The sequence below is a fragment of the Homo sapiens genome, chromosome 19 (genome assembly GCF_000001405.40).
Source record: "Homo sapiens chromosome 19, GRCh38.p14 Primary Assembly".
Taxonomy (NCBI): domain Eukaryota; kingdom Metazoa; phylum Chordata; class Mammalia; order Primates; family Hominidae; genus Homo; species Homo sapiens.
The window spans coordinates 36791161-36815075 of record NC_000019.10 but is presented as its reverse complement, the minus strand read 5'-3'; the positions used below and the strand labels follow the sequence as shown (position 1 = coordinate 36815075).

Sequence of the window (23915 nt, the reverse complement as noted above, 5' to 3'; positions counted from 1 at the left end):
CTACTTGGGAGGACATGGTAGGAGGATCCCTCGAGCATAGGAGTTCAAGTCCAACCTGGGCAACATAGCAAAACCCCTGTCTCTTAAGAAAAATTAAAATACAAACTATAGGTGGGAGAGAGCAAGGTTGGAAAGTAGTCACCTTTGATTTTACCTTGTTTTTATCTGAGAATCATTTTATAACCTCACAGTAAAGAATATTTCCTAGACAAAACATTTTAACTAGAAAAGTGTGGCATATTCATATTAATTTTATTATTCTGTTAACTGAAAGTCACCAGTAACAGAATGAACAGATGTCTGCTTCTGATCAAATGGAGAAACAGACCAGATTTACCCTTATATCTGTAAATACTAAAAAGCTAAACGAAATAGGTGAAACAATGGTTTTTAAGACATTGAATATACTAAAATGTCAATTTCCAATGAAGAACAGTGATCCCTGAAAAAAACAGAAATAAATTTTTCCTAGTTTTTCCAGATTACTGCTGGGAGGAGTAACTCAGGCAGAGCCTGGTGGTCTCCTAGTGTTTAGATAGAATGAGGAGTCTGATGAGGCCAAAGTGGCCCGAGTTGACAAGGCAAAACACTGAAGAGGAGAGAACTGCACGGAAATCTCCAGAGGATCTTCCTTTAAGTTCAGCTAAATATTCATCAACACGTGCGTGTGTGAAAACTACCTGAAGCCAGGGAAAAACAATTACCTTAAAGGATTAGAGGGAAGAATCCACAGAGCTCAAAAACGTCCAGGAATAATTCCTTTTCCCAGTAGCCAAAGTGGAAAATAAAAAATTACTAGGCATCAGCTGGGTGCGGTGGCTCGAGCCTGTAATTCCAGCACTTCGGGAGGCTGAGGCGGGTGGATCACCTGAGGTCAGGAGTTCGAGACCAGCCTGATCAACATGGTGAAACCCCGTCTCTACTAAAAATACCAAAAAAAAAAACCCGCCAGGTCTGTAATCCCAGCTACTCAGGAGGCTGAGGCAGGAGAATCACTTGAACCCGGGAGACAGAGGTTGCAGTGAGCTGAGATCGCACCACTGCACTCCAGCCTGGGCGACAGAGCGAGACTCCAGTTCAAAAAAATAAATAAAAATTAAAAAATAAAATAAAATAAAAAATTTACTAGGCATCCAGCATTCATTAAGGAGAATAATTCAGTTAAGGAGGAAAAGAATTCTGGGATTCTGGGAATTTCCTTAACCAATAAAGAGTATGTGTGAGAAACCTACTGCTAACATCATACTTAATGGTAAAAGTCCAAAGATCAGCAAAAAGAGGATACCTGGTCTAAACACTTCCACTAAGCATTATACTGGAAGTTCTAGCTAGTGCAATAAATGAAAGAATACAAAGTATCCAGATTGGAAAGGAAGTAAAATCATCTTTATTAACAGATTATATGATTGTCTATATAAAAAAAATCTGAAGGTATCTACAACACTATTAGAACTAAATGAGCTTAGTGAGACTGCAAAATAAAGATCAATATATATAAAGCAGATGATTTTGCATGAACTAGCCATGAACAATCTGAACCTTAAAACCTTAAATGCCATTTATAACACCATAAACAATATGAAATACATAGTGATGCATCTGGCAAAAGAAGTGCAAGATGTATAGTATAAAAATTAAAAACACTTCTGGGAGAACTTTAAAAAAGACCTAAATAGAGATATACTATGTTCAGAGACTACAAGACTCAATACCATTAATATGTCAATTCTTTCCAACCTGACCTATAGATTCAGTGAAATCCCATTTTGAATATTCAGGAGGCTTTTTGTTTTGTAGAAATTGGGAACTCAATTCTAAAATACATATGGACATGCAAAGGACCTAGATTAGTGAAAACAACTTTTAAAAATAATTCTGAAAGTTGGAAAATAGGCTGGGCGCGATGGCTCATGCCTGTAATCCCAGCACTTTGGTAGGCTGCGGTGGACAGATCACCTGAGGTCAGGAGTTCAAGACCAGCCAACATGGCAAAACCCATCTCTACTAAAAAATACAAAAATAGCCAGGTCTGCTGGCAGGCACCTGAAATTCCAGCTACTTGGGAAGCTGAGGCAGGGAGAATTGCTTGAACCTGGGAGTCGGAGGTTGAAGTGAGCCGAGATCACGCCATTGCACTCTAGTCTGGATGACAGAGGGAGACTCCGACTCAAAAAAAAAAAAAGAAAAAGTTGGAGAACATATGTTACCTGAATTTAAGACTTATTATAAAGCTACAGTAATCAAGACTGTGTGGTATTCATGGAATAAAATAGAGAGTTGAGAAACACACATACATGGACAACTGATTTGTGACAGTGGTGCAAAGGAAATTTATTAAAGAAGAGGTAATCTTTTTAACAAACAATGCTAGAAGAACTTGTTATATATATGTTTAAAAATTTACATTGATTTATAGCTCAAAGCACCTACAAAAAACGTTAACTAAATGCTGGGAATGGTGGTACACACCTGTAATTCCAGCATTTTGGGGGGCTGAGGCTGGCAGATCAGCTGAGGCTGGCTGGTTTGTGACCAGCCTGGCCAACATGGTGAAACTTCATCTCTACTGAAAATACAAAAAAAGAAAAATTAGCTGGACATGGTGGTGCAAGCTTGTAGTCCCCGCTACTTGGGAGGCCGAGGCAGGAGAATCTCTTGAACCTGGAAGGCAGAGGTTGCAGTGAGCAGAGGTCGCGCCACTGCACTCCAGCCTGGGTGACAGAGTGAGATTCTGTCTTAAAAAAAAAAAGTTAACTAAAAATGTATCATATGCTTAAAACTATAAAACTTTCAGAACCTTGGAGTAGGCAAAAATTTCTTATATATGTTACTGAAACTGCAAGTCCTTAACAAATAAATTAATTAGTCATCAAAATTGAAAGCTTTTGCTCTTAACCGACTTTGTGAAGAGAAGGAAAAGATTAGCCACAGACTGGGAGAAAATATTTTCTAATCTTATATATATCTGACAAAGACTTGAATATAAAAAGACCTTAAAATTCAACAACCCAAAGAAGATATACAGATGTCAAATAAACATATGATTAGTCACAAGTGAAATGCAAATTAAAACACAATAAGTTAACACTATGTGCCTAATATAATGGCTAGCACTTAAAAAGCTAAGTATAGCAAGTGTTAGTGAAGATAAGAAGCAGGTGAAGCTCATACTGCTGGTGGAAATTAAAATGGTACAATTACTTTGGGAAACAGTGTGGCAGTTTCTTAAAAAGTTAAACACAAAATGAATAGAAACCTGGGCCTCATAACCTAATACTCAAAATATCAAGGATACAATTAAAAATATTCATTATACCAAAACCAGGCAAATCTAAACCTAATAGAAAAAGAGAACAGATACCAACACCAAGATTACACTGATACTGTATTTGGTTGGTGCAAAAGTAATTTCAGTTTTTGCCATTAATAATTCACTGACAATGAGTTTAAGAGACCTATCATTAAAATGCACCAAGCAATTGCAAACACTCTTAAATCAAATTAAAGGAGGGGGCACTAAGTAAAGAAATAGAAGATATAACAAAGAACCAAATAGAAAAAAATGGAAATGAAAAATTCAACAAGTAAATTTTTAAAAATTACTGGATTGGCTCAATAACAGAATGGAGATGGCAGAGGAAATAATAAACTTGAACATTCATCAATAGAAATTATCCATTCTAGACAAGAAATAAAATCAATTGGGGGAAAAAAAGAATGGAAGCCCATGGGCCATAGGGATAATAACAAAAGATCAAACATTCATATCAGAGTCCCAGAAACAGAAAAGGAGCAGAGCTAAAAATATATTTGAAGAAAGAAGGCCTTAAAACTACCCAACTTTGGCAAAAGATGTAAACCTACACATTCAAGAAGATGAATGAAACCCAAATAGAATAAATGCAATGAAATCCATGTCTAGAATATCAAATCCAAATTTCAGAGAATTAAAGACAAAACTCTTGAGAGCACTCAGTGAGAAATGACACATATGTAACTATTTCTCAGCTTCGGAACTAGTGACATTTTGTGTCAAATAATTCTCTGCTCTGGTGGGCTTTGCTGTACGTTGTAGGATGTTTAGCAGCACCCCTAGCCTCTTCTCACTAGATGCCAGTAGCAATTTCCAGTTGTGACAAGCACAAAATGTCTCTAGACATTGCCAAATGCTTGTTTGGGTGTGGAAATGTTCGCAGTTGAGAACCATCACTTTACCATAACAATGATTCTAATGCTGGTGGATTCCTAGTTAGAAACCATGAAGGCCAGAAGGGAGTAGTGCATTTTTCTGTGTAGGAGAAAAGTGCTGAAAGAAAAGAACTTTCAACCCAGAATTCTATAGCCAGTAAAAATATCTTTCAGGAAGGAACATAAAATAGACATTCTCAGATGAAGGAAAACTCTGGGAATTTATAACCAACAGACCTGTTGTAAAAGAATGCATAAATTCCATTAGGAAGGACAGAAGAGAATGGAATATCAAGACTGAAGAAAGAGCAACAAAAATGGTTCTACAAACTAGAATTTACTTCCAAAACTAAGGCAAAGGTAAACTTCCAGAACTAAATGAAAGTAAGCCACTATAAAGCTTATTTCTGTCATGCACCTTATGAACCTACTCGGTGATTTCCAACCAAGACTTAAAAATTAGTCCAAGGCAGTCCAAGGGAGTCCAAGTGGGAAAATAAAGCCACTTCTGGTTTGCTCTTTTCCAGTTCATCAGATAATATCTATTGTGTGCCCAGAGGGCGTGGAGTACTACCCTAGGCAATATCCATAGTAATTAGGGCTTTGTTTTCTTATCATGAATGTTTTCACCAGAGTAGCACTTCTAATTTCCTTTGAGAACTTTTTCTTTGCACTTACAACTTGGCTAACTTTGGCACAAGAAGTATAGCTTTCAGCCTGTCTCAGTTTTCAACATGGCCTTCCTCATTAAGCCTAATCGTTTCTTGGTTTTGACTGAAAGTGAAAGACATGTGTCTTCCTTTAATTTGCACACTAAGAGGGCATTGGAGGATTATTCATTGAAATAATTTTAATATTGTTGAGTCTCAAGGAGTAAGGAGGGCAAAGGAGAGAAAGATGGAGAAATAGCTGGGCAGGGGAGCAGTCAGAACACATACAATGTTTATCAATTAATTTTGCCATCATATAGGGTCCTGGTTCATGACCTCCCAAAATAGTTACAACAGTTACCTCAAAGACCACCTATCACACATCACCATAACAGAGTAATAATAATGGAAAATTTGAAGTATTGTAAGAATTAGCAAAATGTGACAGAGTCACCAACTGACCACATGATGATAGAAACGTGGCACAGATGGACGCTCCACGCATGGTTGCCAAAACCTTCAATTTGTCAAAAACACAGTATCTGCAAAGTGTATTAACATAAGTTATGCCTGAACTCAAAAGAACAAAGAGACAAATCCAGGAAATGAAAGGACCAGTCCATTCCAAGTACAGCAATATCATCAGCACAATCTCACTAGAGTCCTTCATCAACAAAGGCAAAAAGTACCCTCAACACATTTATATTATAACCTAAACTCCTGTTAAAGAGGTTTGGGGGATTTTTAAGGGGCTGGCCCCTTTATTCCTTCCTCTATGTTAATTTTTAAATTCCTTATTTTTTTTTTTTTTTTTGAGACGGAGTTTTGCTTTTCTTGCCCAGGCATAATCTCAGCTCACTGCAACCTCCGCCTCCCGGGTTCAAGTGATTCTCCTGCCTCAGCCTTCCAAGTAGCTGGGACTACAGACCCCCGCCACCATGCCTGGCTAATTTTGTATGTTTAGTAGAGACAGGGTTTCACCATGTTGGTCAGTCTGGTCTAGAACTCCTGACCTCAGGTGATCTGCTGGCCTCAACCTCCTGAAGTGCTGGGCCACCGTGCCTGGCCTCTAAATTCCTCTTACAGAGACTCATTTTCATGGTTAAAATGTCCTGAATTGACTGTGGCCTGTTGGGAAGAGGGATGGAGGAAGCTACTTATGGAAAATGAACAAGGAAGGGAAGCACACCAGAAGTTAGAAAGTGTCATCAATTTTTACATCAGACTCCATGACAAACAGAAAGTACAAGTAGCCTGTTTTCATAGCTGACCATTGGACTGCAGACTACACTTGCAGCTACCAGGTTCCTCTGGATAGTCCCAGTTTTAAATTTTTGACCTGATATTCATGAACATAGTGCTACTGGTCAGACCTTTGTCCAGGTTTAAGCTCCAGAAAATAAGGTCTTCATGCAGTGGGAGGCCTGGTTAGGGACATTATTCTGTACTGGGGCATCTGCCACTTCTAACCTGGAGGAAAACTTGGCATCTACTGTTTACCTCCACACTTTAACAGCCAAGGATGGGCTGAGCACAGTGGCTTACATCAGGAACTCCAGCACTTTGGGAGGCCAAGGCAGGAGGATCACTTGAGGCCAGGAGTTCAAGACCAGCCTGGGCAACATAGTGAGACATTATCTCTGTAAAAACAAACAAAACCGAGGATGGGTGGGTGGCAGGGAGCAGATCAACCTGGGAAATCATCAATCTGGGAGCTGGAAGGACCCTTAGACCAGCTCCCATTAACAGATGAGACTCTGCCCAGGGATTATAGCCTAAGGTAATACATTGAGCTTTTCTAGAGATTTGAAAATAATCAATCCTAAAATCCCCAAGCACACTGCTACTGTTTGCTATTTAATGATGTTTTCTAGGCCGGGTGCAGTGGCTCATGCCTGTAATCCCAGGACTTTGGGAGGCTGAAGCGAGCAGATCACCTGAGGTCAGGAGTTCAAGACCAGCCTGGCCAACATAGCGAAACCCTATCTCTACTAAAAATACAAAAAATTTGCTGGGCATGGTGATGCGCGCCTGTAATCCCAGCTGCTTGGAAGGCTGAGGCAGGAGAATCGTTTGAACCCATCAGGCAGAGGTTGCAGTGAGCCGAGATCGCGCCATTGCACTCCAGCCTAGGCTACCAAAGCAAAACTCCATCTGAAGAATAATAATAATAATGTTTTCTACAAGCAAGGGGGTTACTTTCTACCGTGAACTGGTGTGAAGGGATCCACCATGGGTTAGCTTTTGGAGCTGATTTTATTATCTGTGTTGTCCCAAGTGGTGAAGGGAAGATGGCACACCAAAATGGGGGCATTGGTGCCAGTGCATCAGGTAAATAGGCATCTAAAGGTCTGAGAATAGACTGCTACCATGCATTATAATCAATGCTACAATAACCTTGTCGGTTTGCTCCTCCTCTTCAGAAATTACAATGTCTTCCCTACAGTTACGCATAGACATCTTTTATAGACAAGTGCTGGAAAATTTTAATCTCCAGAGATAAGGCCATGGAAAAGATTTTAGATACCCTATCTATTAGTCAGCAAACATTTATTAAACTGTCCATGGGCCAACTGCTGTTTTAGGCCTGTGGGACAGAAAGATCAATAAATACAAGACCTTTGGCTGGAGAAACTCACAGTTCTTGGACTGGAATGAACAACCAACAAATCATTGCAATTCTATGTGATGTGCATTATAGTAGCATGATAATGATCTTTTCTTTTTCGTGTTTTCCCCCAAATGACAACGGCTCAACAAAATGTAAATGCAGGTTACAGAGATCCAACATCTAAAACAATCCTTCTATACTGCCTCTCCAGGCTCCTCTGCCAAGATGCACATACTCTAAGAAAGACAATGCCTTTATCAAATCCACTCTTACTTGAAGTCAGCCTGAGGTCATAGGATGCAACTTTCCTTAGAAAATTTTGCCCTATCCTTCATAAACCTTCAAATCTAGTCTGTGAAAGACTTCAAAGACAAAACAAAACAAACAACAAAACATTTTCCTGTTATTCACATTTTTTAATAACACCTGTTGACTTCATCACTTTATTCTTTTTCCAATATCAGTGTAGAAATAAGAAATTGGCTTTGAAAATAGTATATTATTAACATCATCAAACATCAAAGGCATCAGGCAAGAAAAAGATAACTTTGAAACTACAGAGTTTGTCTAAATAAGACAATTGAAAACACAAACTATTTTTTTTTTTTCTTGAGACACAGTCTTGCTCTGTTGCCCAGGCTGGAGTGCAGTGGCACCATCTCGGCTCACCGCAAGCTCCGCCTCCAGGGTTCACGCCATTCTCCTGCCTCAGCCTCCGAGTAGCTGGGACTATAGGCACCTGCCACCATGCCCGGCTAATTTTTTGTATTTTTTTTAGTAGAGACGAGGTTTCACCGTGTTAGCCAGGATGGTCTCGATAGCCAGGATGGTCTCGATCTCCTGACCTCGTGATCCGCCTGCCTCGGCCTCCCAAAGTGCTGGGATTACAGGCGTGAGCCACCACACCCGGCCTGAAAAGGCAAACTTTTAAAATATCCTAGTTTAATAGAAAATTGTTCAAAATATGGTGAAGCAAACAGAAAAAACTTAGCAAACAGTATCATGAAAAGAAAGTAAATACAGTGAGCTGAGCTTTGGGTGTGTTTGTCATGAAAATGGAAAATAAGACAGAGCTAATATGCAGTGATTTGAATAAAATATGCTATTACTAACATATTTTAGTAATAAGCAAACTGAAATATATTCATCCATTCCTCTACTTGATGACCAAAAGGAATAATGCTTTAGATTTGGCAACTTTGGTTAAAAGGATGAAAAACTTTTGAGCTATTTAAAAAGCAAGTAACTGGGCCAGGCATGGTGGCTCATACCTGTAATCCCGGCACTTTGGGAAGCCAGGGTAACAGAATCACTCGTGCTCAAGTATTTGAGACCAGCTTGGGCAACATAGTGAGACCCAACCCCACCTCTGCAAAAAAATTTTTAAATTAGCTAGGCATGGCGGTGCACACCTGCAGTTCCAGTTACTTGGGAGGCTGAGGTGGGAGGATCTCTTGAGCCTAGGAGTTTGAGGCTGCAATAACCTATGATTCCACCCCTACACTTCAGCCTGGGTTACAGAATGAGACCCTGTCTCAAAAAAAAAAAAAAAAAAAATTAAATTAGACCAACTGTAGGATTAATTTAATTTGGAGTAATTTAGGGAAAAAAATGTTTCCTAAAGATATGACAACCAAAGAATGACAGAAACTTCCTTAAATATCTAAAAAGCTGCTAATGTCTTTCTTTAGATAGCTGTCACTGACAAAGGACCAAAAATGGTGGCTTTTAATTTTATTAAAAATGTAAGACTTTGGGGTAAAGATGATAGAATGAAGTTAAAAAAAAGTTCTACCACTCTCAACCTAAAGACAACAGAAATAGCACAAGTTCACCTGGAGTAACCAAACACAGAAACAGGTCAGGCAGTAAACTTCAGAGGGAGATGATGGTCAACAACAGAGAAAGAAAATTTTGGCAAGGCCCACCCAAGTGCCAGACCCTCTCCCACCAAAGAAAAGAGGTCTGGAGCCACTGGTCAGTATACTACAGGCAGTATATCTAGGGCCACAAAGCCGTAAGAATCTCCTTCTTATGAATTTCTGAAATCATATTTGATGACTCAAGCAAAAATTATAAAAGCATATGTTGGAATGCTCAATATGAAAAAGGAAACATTGGAAACAATTATATCTAAAAGGTAGAGAGGGTAAAGACCTAAATGAAAGTAAGTTTTCAATGCTCCACTGCAAGTACTTAAATGTGGATAGCAATAGGCTAAGTTATAGATATATACTGTAATACCTAGAGCAACCACCAAAAGAACTATGTAAGTGATATACTCAAATACAGTATAAATTAAACAAGATGGAATTTTAAAAGTGATCAAGTATCCAGTGGAAGACTAGAACAGGGAAACAGGAAACAAACAGAAAACAAATAATAAAATGGCAGAATTAAGCTTTAACACATCAAGAATTACTTTAAAGGTACGTGGTCTAAGAACATCAATTTACCTTTGATGTAAAGGACAGAGATGGCAGTTTAAATAAAATAAAACATAACCCAACTACATGCCACGTACAAGAACCTCACTTCAAACACAGCATAGGTAAGTTGACAGTTAAAATAAAAAACGAACAAAAGAAAAAAGGTATATCATGCTAACATCAGTATTAAGAAAGCAAGAGTGGTTGTATGGATAACGGGTAAAAAAGATTTCCAAGGAAAGTTAATAAGGGCATTACATAACGTAATGAGAAACATTACAAAATAATTTAAAAATCATTATGTAAAGAGACGCATTACATGATTTACAAATCATAACGACATATAGATACTAAATGTGTATGCATCCAACAACAGAGCTTCAAAATGCCAACAAATGCAAATTAATGCTTTTTATACAAATACGCACTATCGTAGCCTCATTAATGCAGCATTGTTTTAGTCTATCCATCCTTCATCAACTGTTCTTTTTTTTTTTTTTTTTTTTTTTGAGAAGGAGTCTCACTCTGTTGTCCAGGATGGAGTGCAATGGCATAATCTCGGCTCACTGCAACCTCCACCTCCTGGGTTCAAGTGATTCTCCTGCCTCAGCCTCCTGAGTAGCTGGGATTACAGGAGCCCACCACCATTCCTGGCCAATTTTTTTTTTTTTTTTTTGGGTATTATAAGTAGAGATGGGGTTTCACCATGTTGGCTAGGCTGGTCTCAAACTCCTGACCTCAGGTAATCCACACGCCTTGGCCTCCCAAAGTGCTGAGATTACAGGCGTGAGCCATTGTGCCTGGACCATCTATCTATTTTCCCATCCTTCTATCTGTCTGTCCATGTGCCTAGAGGAGAAAGAATGGCATGGTATTTTCCTGTATTGATGACAGTTATTTCTAAATCATGGAGGTGGGAATGCTTGTTGATTATCTTCTTTGTTCTTTGTTATACTGGTTGATTTTTTTTAAAAACAAGCATTTTTATAACAATAAAGTCATAAAAATAAGTAACTAAAATAAAGTAAAATAATCTATGAAGGCCGGGTGCAGTGCTTCACGCTGGGCGTGGTGGCAGGCACCAGTAATCCCACCTACTCGGGAGGTTGAGGCAGGAGAATCGCCTGAACCCGGGAGAAGGAGGTTGCAGTGAGCCAAGATCGCGCCATTGCACTCCAGCCTGGGCTACAAGAGCAAAACTCCATCTCAAAACAACAACAACAACAAAAAGTCTAAATATAATTCAGTTGAATAAACTTTTTATTGACTAATTTCAAATTAGATTCTAGTTAAATGTTAGAACAGCAGCTCATAGAAGCAGATGTAGTCAATTATGTTAACTCTGTGGTTTCATTTAAGCAATTTGTTTTGTGAAGGGACACAAATCCAACCAGATTTTAACAGTGTATAAATACTTACTTACTAATTCAATTACAATGACAATACTCTCAACACCCCATCTGAATAAAGCAGAGCATCCGATCTCTGTTCTGGGGCACTGTACATTATAGGTGTGTGGAAATACCGATGCCCTCAGCTGTGGGGCAGGCTCAGTGGGACCTGGAGTGCTGGAGACCCTGGGCCATTCACCTCTGGTCACAAAAGCTATTGTCCATTTACCCCCAACTGCCATAGAAATATTATTTTCAGTGGTTGTTATGATGCAAAAGAAAAGAAGCAGGGAGATTTATTAAATTTTTACGTATAAGTTATGTAAATAAAGTGAACTTTCTCCTGGCTTAACTAAAAAACTATACTAGTATTTATGCCTTTTGGAAAATAGAGATGCCAATTTAAATATTATGAAGCAAAGCAACTGATTATTAGGTAAGACAACCAATTACAACTGCAGAATTGTAGAGGTTATGAGTTACATGTATAATATTTCACAGCAATACTCTTTTAAGACTATGTCAAGACACTCACAGTGAAGCAGAAATTAGAACAGAATACTACTGTGTATGCTCTCAGTTCACCTATTTATCGGAACGGTAACCAATCTCATTAATAATTTTATTTTGATAAGATGTTGAAGTGATATTTTGGATAATGCTAACATTTTAGGTGAAATAAAACATTAATTTCACCTGTTTCTTTTTAACTTTTCTAAAGTGACTACTAGAAAATCTAAAACAACTTATGTGTCTGGCATTGTATTTCTATTCGAAAGCGCTGCTCTACAGAGAAATGGTCTCTAGGGAGGCAGAAACATGAGAACCACAATAGAGGTGGATGTAGGGAAGTGACAGACACATCTGGTGGGTACCTTCAGGTGCTGACAGTGGGAACCCAGGAGATTCGGGTATGGACAGGCCTCGATCTATGCACAGCAGGAGACTAGCATGGCTGACACTAAGGGTGCTGAGCTGACATACAAAACTATTCAGCTTTATAAACGTGTGATAAAAATACCGCTAAGTCACTGACATTCCACAGGACAAATCATAATAGAAATGAAAAAACAGCCAGGCGCAGTGGCTTACGCCTTTAATCCCAGCACTTTGAGAGGCCGAGGCGGGTGGATCACGAGGTCAGCAGATCGAGACCATCCTAGCTAACATGGTGAAACCCCGTCTCTACTAAAAATACAAAAAAAAAATTAGCCAGGCGTGGTGGCAGGAGGCTGTAGTTCCAGCTACTCCGGGGGTTGAGGTGGGAGAATGGTGTGAACCCGGAAGGTGGAGCTTGCAGTGAGCTGAGATCACTACACACCAGCCTGGGCAACAGAGCAAGGCTCCGTCTAAAAAAAAAAAAAAAGAGAATTAATCTTGATAGAAAATATAAAACACTTCCTCATGAACATTAAAGAAAATTCTAACAACCAAAACATTTGGAATTCAGGTAACTGAAATGGCAGTTTAATCCTCCTGAGGGAATTTTAATTTCTCACTAACAGTACTTTAATGTTAGGGGTAGAAAATTATTTTTTATAGCATTTCACAGGCATTAAAGTTAAAAATCCAAATCAGGCTTTTCTCTGACAGGAACTCCTCCTCAAAACAGAAGAAGCCTATAAGACTTTAACCTGGAAACTACTCAGGGAATCTGGAATATTCCTTCCAGGGATATCTGCAGTTGAAACCTGGCAGTAATTTAAACAAAACCAGACAACTCTTGGGGTATGGTTGGAGCCTGAGGTCTACAGATGGGTCATTTTATATGCTGAGGTCTGAACAAGATGATTTTAACCCCTTAAAATGATGGAAACAAAATAAAACAGAATAAATTGGAAGACAACACAGGTGAGTGGTTTAAAGGGCCTACTTGCTGTGTTTCCTCTGGTCTTCAGGTCTCCTCACTGCTGAGGGATCCAGGCGCAGCTCTAGACCAAGAAATGGGAGGATTTTAGAGTGACTGGTAATTTCTCTACTATCTGCAGTTAGTAAACTTTCTCCGCAGTTTATGCAAAAAGTAACAAAACCACTGCGGATGACAAACACTAGGTAACACATATACTATCTCCCAAATACCTACCCACAAGCTCAACAATTTTAAACTGTTAGGATCACTGGCTCTAATCACCATGACATGAGGTCACCACCAAACCATCAAGCGCTAAACAGACAGAATGTTTCCACTCCTAATCCACTGTGTGGAGAAGCACAGAGCTTACCCACTGGGGCCCTGCATCAGAAGAGACGCACAGGCACCGGGGTGTGCATTTGAATGGAGCGATCAAACCACCGTCCCTACAGCTCCTCTGCTCACGGGCACTGCAGTCTGTGGCCTCATGTCCTTTGGGGGACACAGTGGGAAGGTAACCCACATTTCAGTGACACCATCAAGAAAAACACACTGTGGCAATTTGCCCTGATTTCTCATGGGCCTTTTCTCTTTTCCCTTTGGGTTGTATAGACTTCCCTACTGTCCACCTGACCACTCTCGTGCTGCCCAAAACCATAGCTTAAGTCATCAGCTAGGCCTTTCTTGGTGTAATTATTGAAAGGTGAGCCTTACCTGTTCAATCTCTAGAGAGATTTGTTCCAAATCTGGACCTAGAAGAATAAATAAACAAGATTTGCCTGAGTAGGTTTGGCTTCTTCTTTCTCAGGGGAAGCCCTTAAGAAATATCAGCCCCTTGGCCAAGCGCCCACCTGTAATTCCAGCACTTTGGGAGGCCTAGGCGGGCAGATCACCTGAGGTCAGGAGTTCGAGACCAGCCTGGCCAACATGGTGAAACCGTCTCTACTAAAAATATTAAAAAGTTAGCCAGGCGTGGTGGGCGCCTGTAATCCCAGCTACTCTGGAGGCTGAGGCAAGAGAATTGCTTGAACCCAGGACATGGAGGTTGCAGTGAGCTGACACGGTGCCACAGAACTCCAGCATGGGAGACAGACTAAGACTCTGTTTCAAAAAAAAAAAAAAAGAAATATTAGACCATTTGCCCAACTGAAGGGGTGCCTGCCCCCTCCACACCTATGGGTGTTTCTCGTCAGGTGGGACGAGAGACTATGAAAAACACACAGAGACAAAGTATAGACAAAGAAGGCTGGGCATGGTGGCTCACGCCTGTAATCCCAGCACTTTGGGAGGCCGAGGCGAGCGGATCACGAGGTCAAGAGTTTGAGACCAGACTGACCAACATAGTGAAACCCCGTCTCTACTAAAAATACAAAAATTAGCTGGGCATAGTGGTGCGCGCCTGTAATCCCAGCTACTTGGGAGGCTGGGGCAGGAGAATCGCTTGAACCCGGGAGGCGGAGGTTGCAGTGAGCCGAGATTGCACCACTGCATTCCAGCCTGGGCGACAGGGTGAGACTCCATCTCAAAAAAAAAAAAAAGGATAGACAAAGAAAAGTGGGACCAGGGGACCTGCACTGGCACCGGTCTCTGAGTTCCCTCAGTATTTATTGATCATTATCTCTACCATCTCAGACAGGGAGATGTGGCAGAACAATAAGGTAATAGTGGGGAGAGGGTCAGCAGGAAAACATGTGAACAAAGGTCTCCGTGTCATAAACAAGGTTAAGAAAAGGTGCTGTGCCTTGATGTGCACGTATACAAACATCTCAGTGCATTAAAGAGCACTATTGCCGCCAGCAAGTCTCACCTCCAGCCCTAAGGTGGTTTTCTCCTATCTCAGTAAATGGAACATACAATCAGGTTTTACACTGAGACATTCTATTCCCAGGGACCAGCAGGAGACAGACGCCTTCCTCGTATCTCAACTGCAAAGATACAAAGAGGCCTTCCTCTTACTAATCCTCCTCAGCACAGACCCTTTATGGGTGTCAGGCTGGGGGATGGTCAGGTCTTTCCCTTCCCAGGAGGCCATATCTCAGGCTATCGCATGAGGAGAAATCTTTGTATTGTGTCCCTGGGTACTTGAGATTAGAGAACGGTGATGACTTTTAACAAGCATACTGCCTTCAAGCACTTTTTTTTAACAAAACACATCCTGCATAGCCCTAAATCCATTAAACCTTGAGTCAACACAGCACAAGTCTCTTGGGAGCACAGGGTTGGGGCTAGGGTTACAGATTAACAGCATCTCAAGGCCGAAGAAATTTTCTTAGTACAGAACAAAATGGAGTCTCTTATGTCTACTTCTTTCTACACAGACACGGTAACAGTCTGATCTCTCTTTGTTTTCCCCACAAGGGAACAAGCCTCCAAATGGTTGCAGACCCCAGCCGTTGAGTCTTCCGTGCTGAGGCCAGACATCATGGAACAGAGACAAGTGGGCTACCCTTGTGCCATATCTGAAATCCTGACTGTGAGCATGAGAATCCACATAACATAATGATTGTTTGAGCCACTAAATTTTGGTGTAATTTCTGACATAGTAATAGTGCCTATGACAGCCACCTTAACACATTAAGTAACAATAGCGAGTAGTAAATCATCACTGGGAACTGTTACTTGGAAATGTCTTGGAAAGCAGTGACAACCATGAAGGCTATTTGTAGATGCTGTCAGATGACATAAAAACTGCTGTGGTCTCACTGCCAACAATACCCCATACCCGAGGGGTCTACAGCCTATATTCAAGATGGAAGGAAACACTACATTTTGGTTAGAGGAATGTGAAAATTTACACGAGCCCTTCTCATGGGCCCCTAAACTTGGCTGATGGAACTGTGGGTAATAAACTCAGAAGGAGTCAAAGGCATCAAGGTTGCTCATGAAAGAGCTGAGGTTACCAACTCAAGTGTAGACAAGAAAAGAGAGAGGAAAAAAATGGTAGCTCGGCAGGGAGGTCAGAGGGATAGCCAGGCTTAGTTTCCAGACATCCAGGAAAAGGACACCCATCTGAGTAATGGATTGAGAGTCAGTATTAAGATACGGAGAAATATCAAGGAGAAACATTAGTGGCTAACGCTGGACATTTCCACAGCTCTCACATAACCAGAAAAACTTAGCTTAATTTTAGTAACAATGTCAGAAGCACAAGCGTGCTGAGAATTAAGAACAAGGCCTTTGAAGAATGTGGGGACTGTTTTATAAAGCACTGAATCTTCACACCTCATGAAGACAGAGACCTGGAGCCTACAGGTGTCTCATTCACACTATGAAATAAATCCTACAAAAGTAAGAGATCCACTAACTTTTTAAAGGATTTAGGAAGATATATATATGAAATCAGCCAGGTGCGGTGGATCACACCTGTAATCCCAGCACTCTGGGAGGCCGAGGCGGGCAGATCACCCCAGGTCGGGAGTTCGAGACCAGCTTGACCAACATAAAGAAACCCCATCTCTACTAAAAATACAAAATTAGCTGGACGTGGTGGCACATGCCTATAATCCCAGCTACTCGTGAGGCTGAGGCAGGAGAATCGCTTCAACCCGGGAGGCGGAGGTTGCAGTGAGCAGAGATTGCACCATTGCACTCCAGCCTGGGCAACGAGAGCGAAATTCCGTCTCAAAAAAAAATAATAATAAAAAATAAAAGTTGTTTCTTTCACAAAAGTTACTCTACATACGTGCTCCAAAAATAAGATTTCAAAGACACTGGGGAAAATACTACTACTAAGATATCAAAACCAGGAACTTACTTCCTTTAAAACAATTCCAAACTAACTCGCTGCGCCTTTCACAGAAATTTCCCACAAGAAATATGATTTTATAAAGCCTGAGAAGTTGCTGCTGTTAGGAAAACCACCAAAACTAAAAATTGGTTTAATTAGCAACAACAACAAAATGCCATTTTAACTGGCTGTCCTTATCAGAGACAGTCCACTAAATAATGCAACTGGCAAAACGTGAGATTTTTTAAAGGGTGGGGTGCTTTATTATAAACATAATATAAACCAGGAATGTATTTTATTTAATAAACCTCAACCTGCCGGTCACTCCCTCCCTTCGAGGCGTTCTGCAACAGAACACCTGGCTAGAAATAAAAGGGCGTTTTACCCCAGTGGGATGAAAAAGCCCCGTTTTTTACCTTTAATCGCGAGACAATACGGGTCAGAGGTCAGGAAATTATGTCAGCACCAATGCGGGCGCCCACGAGTGCGGTGGACCGATGTGGAAGGGCCGGGACGCAGCCCGAGTCCCAGTTCCCGCCGTAGCGATGGCCGATTTCCCAGCCGCGGACGCTGAAAGCGAGGACTCCACGCCGATGACCCTTCGGCGTACCATGTCCGGCGGGCGCTTGGCCAAACAGCCCAAGACTGCGGAATCACACTCGCCACTGTGTACCTGGACGCCATCTGCAGACCCAGCGCCTGCGGGGATTCCGGAAACGGGAGAGCGGGCTTCCGGAAACGGTGACCAATGGGAAACGTGATCAGATGTTACTAGGCGAACAGTCCGTTTCCAGGCAACACAGAAGGAAGAGACGCTCTCAGTCACCCTAAAATAGACGGAGCTTTCAGCCAATGGATATGCAGGTTTGCTCCAGATTAGCCAATAAGAAGTGTTTGGGGCCGGCCGAGCGCGGCGGCTCACGCCTGTAATCCCAGCACTTTGGGAGGCCGAGGCGGGCGGATCACGAGGTCAGAAGATCGAGACCATCCTGGCTAACACGGTGAAACCCCGTCTCTACTAAAAATACGAAAAATTAACCAGACGTGGTGGCGGGCGCCTATAGTCCCAGCTACTCGGGAAGCTGAGGCCGCAGAATGGCGTGAACCCGGGAGGCGGAGCTTGCAGTGAGCGGATATCACGCCACTGCACTCCTGCCTGGGCGACAGAGCGAAACTCGGTTTCAAAAAACAAAAGAAGTGCTTGTGGCCGACCTTCCTACAAGCACAGCAGAAACTTTCCTGCGCATTTCTGCGCTGGAACGCCTACCCGCCGCGCCAAACCAAAACTTTGCAATCACGTTTGGTGCTGTTTCCTGCACTTTCTTGGAGATTAGCACCAGGCGCTGGAGACCCTCCCACCTCGCCCACGCCCACCGCCCGGTGAACACCGAGACCCAACCTTGTGCACCGCCAGTCTTGTGATCAACAAACAGGCTAGTAAAGTATAAAAATAAAATAAAGGAAATGTAGTCGGGCGTGGTGGCGTGCGCCTGTAATCCCAGCTACTCCGGAGGTTGATGCAGGAGAATCGCTTGAACCTGGGAGGTAGAGGTTGCGGTGAGCCGAGATCGCGCCACTGCATTCCAGCTTGGACAGCAAGAGCGAAACTCCGTCTGAACATAGTAAAATAAAATAAAGGAAATGGGGCCGGGCGCGGTGGCTCACGCCTGTAGTTCCAGCACTTTGGGAGGCCGAGGCGGGCCGATTACTTGAGGTCAGGAGTTAGAGAACAGTCCGGCCGCCAACATGATGAAACCCCCGTCTGTACTAAAAATACAAAAATTAGCCAGGCGTGCTGGCGGGCGCCTGTAATCCCACCTAGTCGGGAGGCGGAGGCACAAGAATCGCGTGAACCGGAGAGTTGGAGAGTTGGAGAGTTGGAGAGTTGGAGAGTTGGAGAGTTGGAGGTTGCAGTGAGCCGGAGGTTGCAGTGAGCCGGAGAGGCGGAGGTTGCAGTGAGCCGAGATCCCGCCCCTGCGCTCCAGCCTGGGCGACAGAGTGAGACTCCGTCTTAAAATAAAATAAAATAGGCCGGGCGCGGTGGCTCACGCCTGTAATCGCAGCACTTTGGGCGGCCGAGGCGGCTGGATTGCCTGAGCTCAGGAGTTCGAGACTATCCTGGGCAACGTGGTGAAACCCCGTCTCTACTAAAAATACAAAAATTGGCCGGGCGCGGTGGCTCACGCCTGTAATCCCAGCACTTTGGGAGGCCGAGTCGGGTGGATCATCTGAGGTCAGGAGTTCAAGACGAGCCAGACCAACATGGAGAAACCCCGTCTCTACTAAAAATACAAAATTAGCCGGGGTGGTGGCGCATGCCTGTAATCCAGCTACTCGGGAGGCTGAGGCAGAAGAATCGCTTGAACCCGGGAGACGGAGGTTGCGGTGAGCCAAGATCGCGCGCGCCATTGCACTCCAGCCTGGGCAACAAGAGTGAAACTCCGTCTCAAAAGAAAAAAAAAAAGAAAAAAACAAAAACAAAAATTAGCGGGGCATGGCGGCGCATGCCTGTAATCCTACCTATTTGGGAGGCTGAGGCAGGAGAATCACTTGAACCCGGGAGGCGGAGGTTGCAGTAAGGGAAACTCCGTCTTTAAATAAATAAGTAAAAAGGAAATGGATAGAGGAAACATTAATGCATGAAATCAAACAAATGCTTTCGCTGAAGGGCTCCATCTTTGCAAAACCGAACCTAGGACAATGTGCACGTTTGTAACTAGCAATTCCGTAGGACAGATCGGAGAGGCAGCATGAACTTGATTTTCTGTAATTTAAGAGTTGTCAGTAAAGTCAGTGTTTGCAGGCATTTTCAGTGTTCTGCAGTGGGCTTCAGTTCGGCAGTGTGGCAGGCCAGGTTTCCATTAGCAACCAGAACAGTTTCCATTAACACTTTACTATAATTTTGATGAATGCATAAGTTAAACGTTAAAGAAATTGAGAAACTGGTGCCTGAGTATCAGGGATGGAATGCGAAAACGAACCCATTAAGACCCCGCCTGGGTCCTCTCAGACCCTAAAGTCTGATCGAATAATAATAGTATTCTTACACATTCACCTGGGCCTGTCTTAAGATTCAGAAACTTTCCAAGACTCTAGAGAAATCTTTCCAGACCCTAGACCGTAGTTAAAGATTAGATGTTGATTGAATGCAACATTTCTGCTTGTAGGTGCAGTCCCACCATAGCATTGAGCTTAAGATGTATATAAGCACTAGAAAAAAACTTGAAACTTTGAGTTGGTCTGGTGAGTTACTTGGCTTCTCCGTCTAACCGGTTGCAGAAATAAACTCCTTTCTTTCCCAGTCTGTCTGCATCTTATTGGACAATCGCGACGGACCAGCTCAGCAAACTCCTCTTTTGTGTGGTTATCTGGGACTCTCTGGGAGGGGACATTTTAAATTTTCTATTTCAAAGAGTTCTATCGGCACTCTTGGACTGTTTTTCTCTGCCTAACCTGGGACCTGAGTTCTCCTGGACTTGAATCTCCAGCCACAGAGTCCAGAAGCCCACACCTCCACATTCTGTGACTGTTCCCCAAACACAGGGAGAATTTGCAGAAAATATGCATAAAAACCTTGCCATTCTTCGCAATAAAACCCCACATTACAAACTGGCGAAAAGGGAGGATTTTAGCCCGAATAGGTTTTTCCTCTATTTGAAACCAATCATTTCCCTTTTACAATATTGGAGTGAAGTTTCAAAATCAATAAGCACCTCCCTCCTAGGTTTATCCTTACATAAAGTGCCCCCTCTGCACATGAAACATTGAGTAAACCTTGAAAATATGATGCTAAGTGAAAGAAGCCAGTCACGAAAGACCACGTTTTGTAATTCCATTTAAATAAAATGTCCAAAATAGACCAATACATAGAAACAAAGTACATTGGTGGTGGCCCAGGGTTAGGGGAGTTGGGGGGAAATGGAGGGATATGCGGTTTTCTTCAGGGTAATGAAAATGATCTAAAATTTATTGTGGTGCTGTTTGCACAACTGTGCAAATATACTGAAAACCGTTGAATTTTACAGTTTCAATGGGTGGCTTCTGTGGTATGTTATTAATATTTCTCAATAAAACTTAAAAAAAAAATTGCCTGTGTGTCTTTTTATGTATTATTCCTCCAGAGTCCAGTCCACAGTTTTACACTTGATGAAGAAATTAAGATTTTGTTTCTTCTTCTTCTTCTTCTTTTTTTTTTTTTTTTGAGACAGAGTCTCCCTCTGTTGCCCAGACTGGAGTGCAGTGGCGCAATCTTGGCTAATTTTTGTATTTTTAGTAGAGAGAGTGTTTCACCATGTTGGCTAGACTGGTCTCGAACTTCTGACCTCAAGTGAGTCAACCACGTTGGTCTCCCAATTGCTGGGATTACAGGCGTGAGCCACCGCGCCTGGCCCAAGATTGAGTTTCCGTTGTTTCAGATGCCCTAGGACCATCTTATTCTACCTTAATTTCTGACGCATCATCTCAGTGGAAATTTTACATTAGGTCCCAAAGTTACTCTTTTTTTTTTTTTTTTTTTGAGACGGAGTCTCGCTGTCGCCCAGGCTGGAGTGCAGTGGCGCAATCTCGGCTCACTGCAGGCTCCGCCCCCTGGGGTTCACGCCATTCTCCTGCCTCAGCCTCCCGAGTAGCTGGGACTACAGGCGCCCGCCACCTCGCCCGGCTAATTTTTTGTATTTTTAGTAGAGACGGGGTTTCACCGTGTTAGCCAGGATGGTCTCGATCTCCTGACCTCGTGATCCGCCCGCCTCGGCCTCCCAAAGTGCTGGGATTACAGGCGTGAGCCACCGCGCCCGGCCCAAAGTTACTCTTTTTAAGATTTTATCAGCTGGGTGCAATGGCTCACACCTGTAATCTCAACACTGGGAGGCCAAGGTGGGAGGATCAGTTGAGCCCAGGAGTTCAAGGCCAGTCTCTGCAACATAGTGAGACCCACATATCTACAAAAAAAAAATTTTTTTTTAATTAGGTGGAAGTATTGGTACATGCCTGTGGTCTCAGCTACTAGGTAGGCTCAGGTGGGAGGATCACTTGAGCCCAGGATGTCGAGGCAATGGTGGCCATGATTATACCACTGCACTCCAGCCTGGGTGACAGAGTGAGACCCTGTCTAAAAACAATTTTTTTGTAATTAGAATTTTTTTTTAGAAAACAAAGTATACACTTGGTGACTTGATGCAAATGAATGACTTTTATAATCTACAGAAACCAAAATGAATAAATAAGTAAATAAAAATCCACAGCCATTCTTCTCATGTGAGTCTCTGGTGTCTCTGAGTTGTAAGAATTATGAATTATTATTAATAAATATGCATGACAAGGACTCAATAAAGGATAGGCATTAATGAATTGCAATCCACACTTACTGGGGTAAGGCCTTTAAAGATGTTAAGAAAAAGAAAGAAAAAGAAAAGGCATTGAAAAACTGCATTGCCTACCAAAACGCTAAAGTTTACCTAAGTCCATTAATCAGCGCGCACACACACACATACACACATGCAGTGGGTGTGTAAAATGGTCAACACAGTCTTCCATGAATGTACCCTCTTATTAATAGGTCTGTGGGGGTAAGAGATGAGGTTCTATAGATCCTGGAATCGGGGATGGGGAATCTGTGAGGTCCCCGGGGTGACAGAGGAGGGTCTGTAGATTACTGATAGGTGGTCTTTGGGATAGTGATGAGGTCCATGGAATCAATGATTGTGGGTATGTAGGGTCAGTGATGAGGGAATCTGGTGTCAGTGATGGGATGTGTGTGGGATCGATGAGACAGTATGGAATCAATCCGTGAGAGCCAGATTTGCGGTGTCATCTCTCATGGTGACGCATCCTGATCTGTGTGTCAGTGGTGGAGATTCTATGGGGTAAGAGTGTGGCTGTCAGGTCCCTGCCACTGTGTGTTCTGGGTCTGGCCAAGTGCACAGATTCCCTTACCTGGTCCTGGCTGGAGAGGCTCTTCTCAAGGACTCCTCTCGTGAAAGGTGGGTTGGCGGCGTTTTGGGGGTTTTTGTTTGTTTGTTTTTTGCGGGGGGTGGGGGTTGGCTTTTTCTTTTGGGTTTGTTTTTGAGTCTTAGAGACCACAGACACATGGAGCTTGTAGGAAGAAATTTTTGTCTGGGCCGTCGCTAGGTCCTTTGGGCCAAGCCATCTAATAGGAGCGAAGGTGACCATTCCCTCAGCGGGGTTCAGAGCTAGAAGGTCGCTTTAAGGTGTCCACACGGTGGCGTGCAAGTGGGTTGTGGCTTTGAGGGGCAGGTGGGCGGGAAGAAACAACTAAGAAAGACACAGGAGCGCTCCTCAGGCTGGATTTGTCACAGCCGGAAGAGAAGCTGCCCTAACCAACCCGTCAGGCGCCAATGGGAGGTGCCTCCGGGCTGTGAGAGGCTGGCGGAGGCGGGACCTGCAGATCCAGAGAGCCCGGGCACAGAGCCTGTTACTGCCAGACGCTGAGGCGTTGCCGTGGGAACCAAGGGCCTTTCGGGTCAGATCAGAGCCTTTCTCAGACAATTCTTTCGGTAACTGGCGAGCTCCTGTCCAGCGCACGCCTCTATGAAGGCCTAGTGTGCCGTCTGCCGCGGAGTCTTCTTTGGTCTGAGAGCCACTTGTTTCTTACATCCCTGCGCTAATCTCGCCGTCTGCTCCTACCTAACCCAGGCATTTGCCGCATGCTGGTCCTCTATTTCCTCACAGGCGGGCCGTCTCTCCAGCTTCTGGGAGGACAGTTCAAATTACGGAGGAGGGGGCAGGTGCAGGGCAGTGGGGCTGAGGGGAGTAGGGGGGAGTTGGGGGAGCAGGGGCTCATTTTTCTTTGTAGCTCAGATTCCTAGGCCTGTGACTTTGAGAATCGGTGTCTTCCTTGCAGTATTTTAATCTGAGGCTCCTGGGGAGAGGACAGAGTTGGAGCCGGATGGAAGCGTGGTGGGTGTAAGGAACATGGAGAATGTGTCAGGCGGTGTCTTTATTCCTGGCACATTACTTTGCCTGCTGGAGTTTCCCAGTCTGTTCCAGGCGCACTCTCTCGACCCTGAAGGGACCTGAGCGGGGATGTTGGTCGCCAGTGTGTGCTCCCC

The 23915-nt window shown here is 43.0% G+C and overlaps 1 long non-coding RNA gene across 2 annotated transcripts in view, besides 4 other annotated features; it reads right to left on the bottom strand.

Moving 5' to 3' along the window:
• ZNF790-AS1 (ZNF790 antisense RNA 1) overlaps window positions 1-17526 on the bottom strand; it is a 30562-nt gene extending 13036 nt beyond the window's left edge. Inside the window, exons 1-3 of one of the 2 annotated variants that reach the window (NR_040027.1) lie at window positions 17265-17526; window positions 13836-13873; window positions 13143-13200 (exon numbers count right to left, since the gene is read on the bottom strand). This is a non-coding gene — a long non-coding RNA (ZNF790 antisense RNA 1). The remainder of the gene's footprint in view (window positions 1-13142; window positions 13201-13835; window positions 13874-17264) is intronic. The other variant, NR_040028.1, reaches the window with a different exon arrangement.
• Window positions 17235-17304: an enhancer, noted in NCBI's record as "active region_14534". NCBI's record gives its function as "activates an Ori minimal core promoter by ATAC-STARR-seq in GM12878 lymphoblastoid cells {active_cell/tissue: GM12878}" and the evidence as "EXISTENCE:reporter gene assay evidence [ECO:0000049][PMID:35858748]".
• Window positions 17725-17884: a silencer, noted in NCBI's record as "silent region_10552". NCBI's record gives its function as "represses an Ori minimal core promoter by ATAC-STARR-seq in GM12878 lymphoblastoid cells {active_cell/tissue: GM12878}" and the evidence as "EXISTENCE:reporter gene assay evidence [ECO:0000049][PMID:35858748]".
• Window positions 17895-17964: a silencer, noted in NCBI's record as "silent region_10551". NCBI's record gives its function as "represses an Ori minimal core promoter by ATAC-STARR-seq in GM12878 lymphoblastoid cells {active_cell/tissue: GM12878}" and the evidence as "EXISTENCE:reporter gene assay evidence [ECO:0000049][PMID:35858748]".
• Window positions 22757-23257: an enhancer, noted in NCBI's record as "H3K4me1 hESC enhancer chr19:37282721-37283221 (GRCh37/hg19 assembly coordinates)". NCBI's record gives its function as "activates a minimal SCP1, AML or CMV promoter by ChIP-STARR-seq in naive H9 embryonic stem cells {active_cell/tissue: H9 hESC(naive)}" and the evidence as "EXISTENCE:reporter gene assay evidence [ECO:0000049][PMID:30033119]".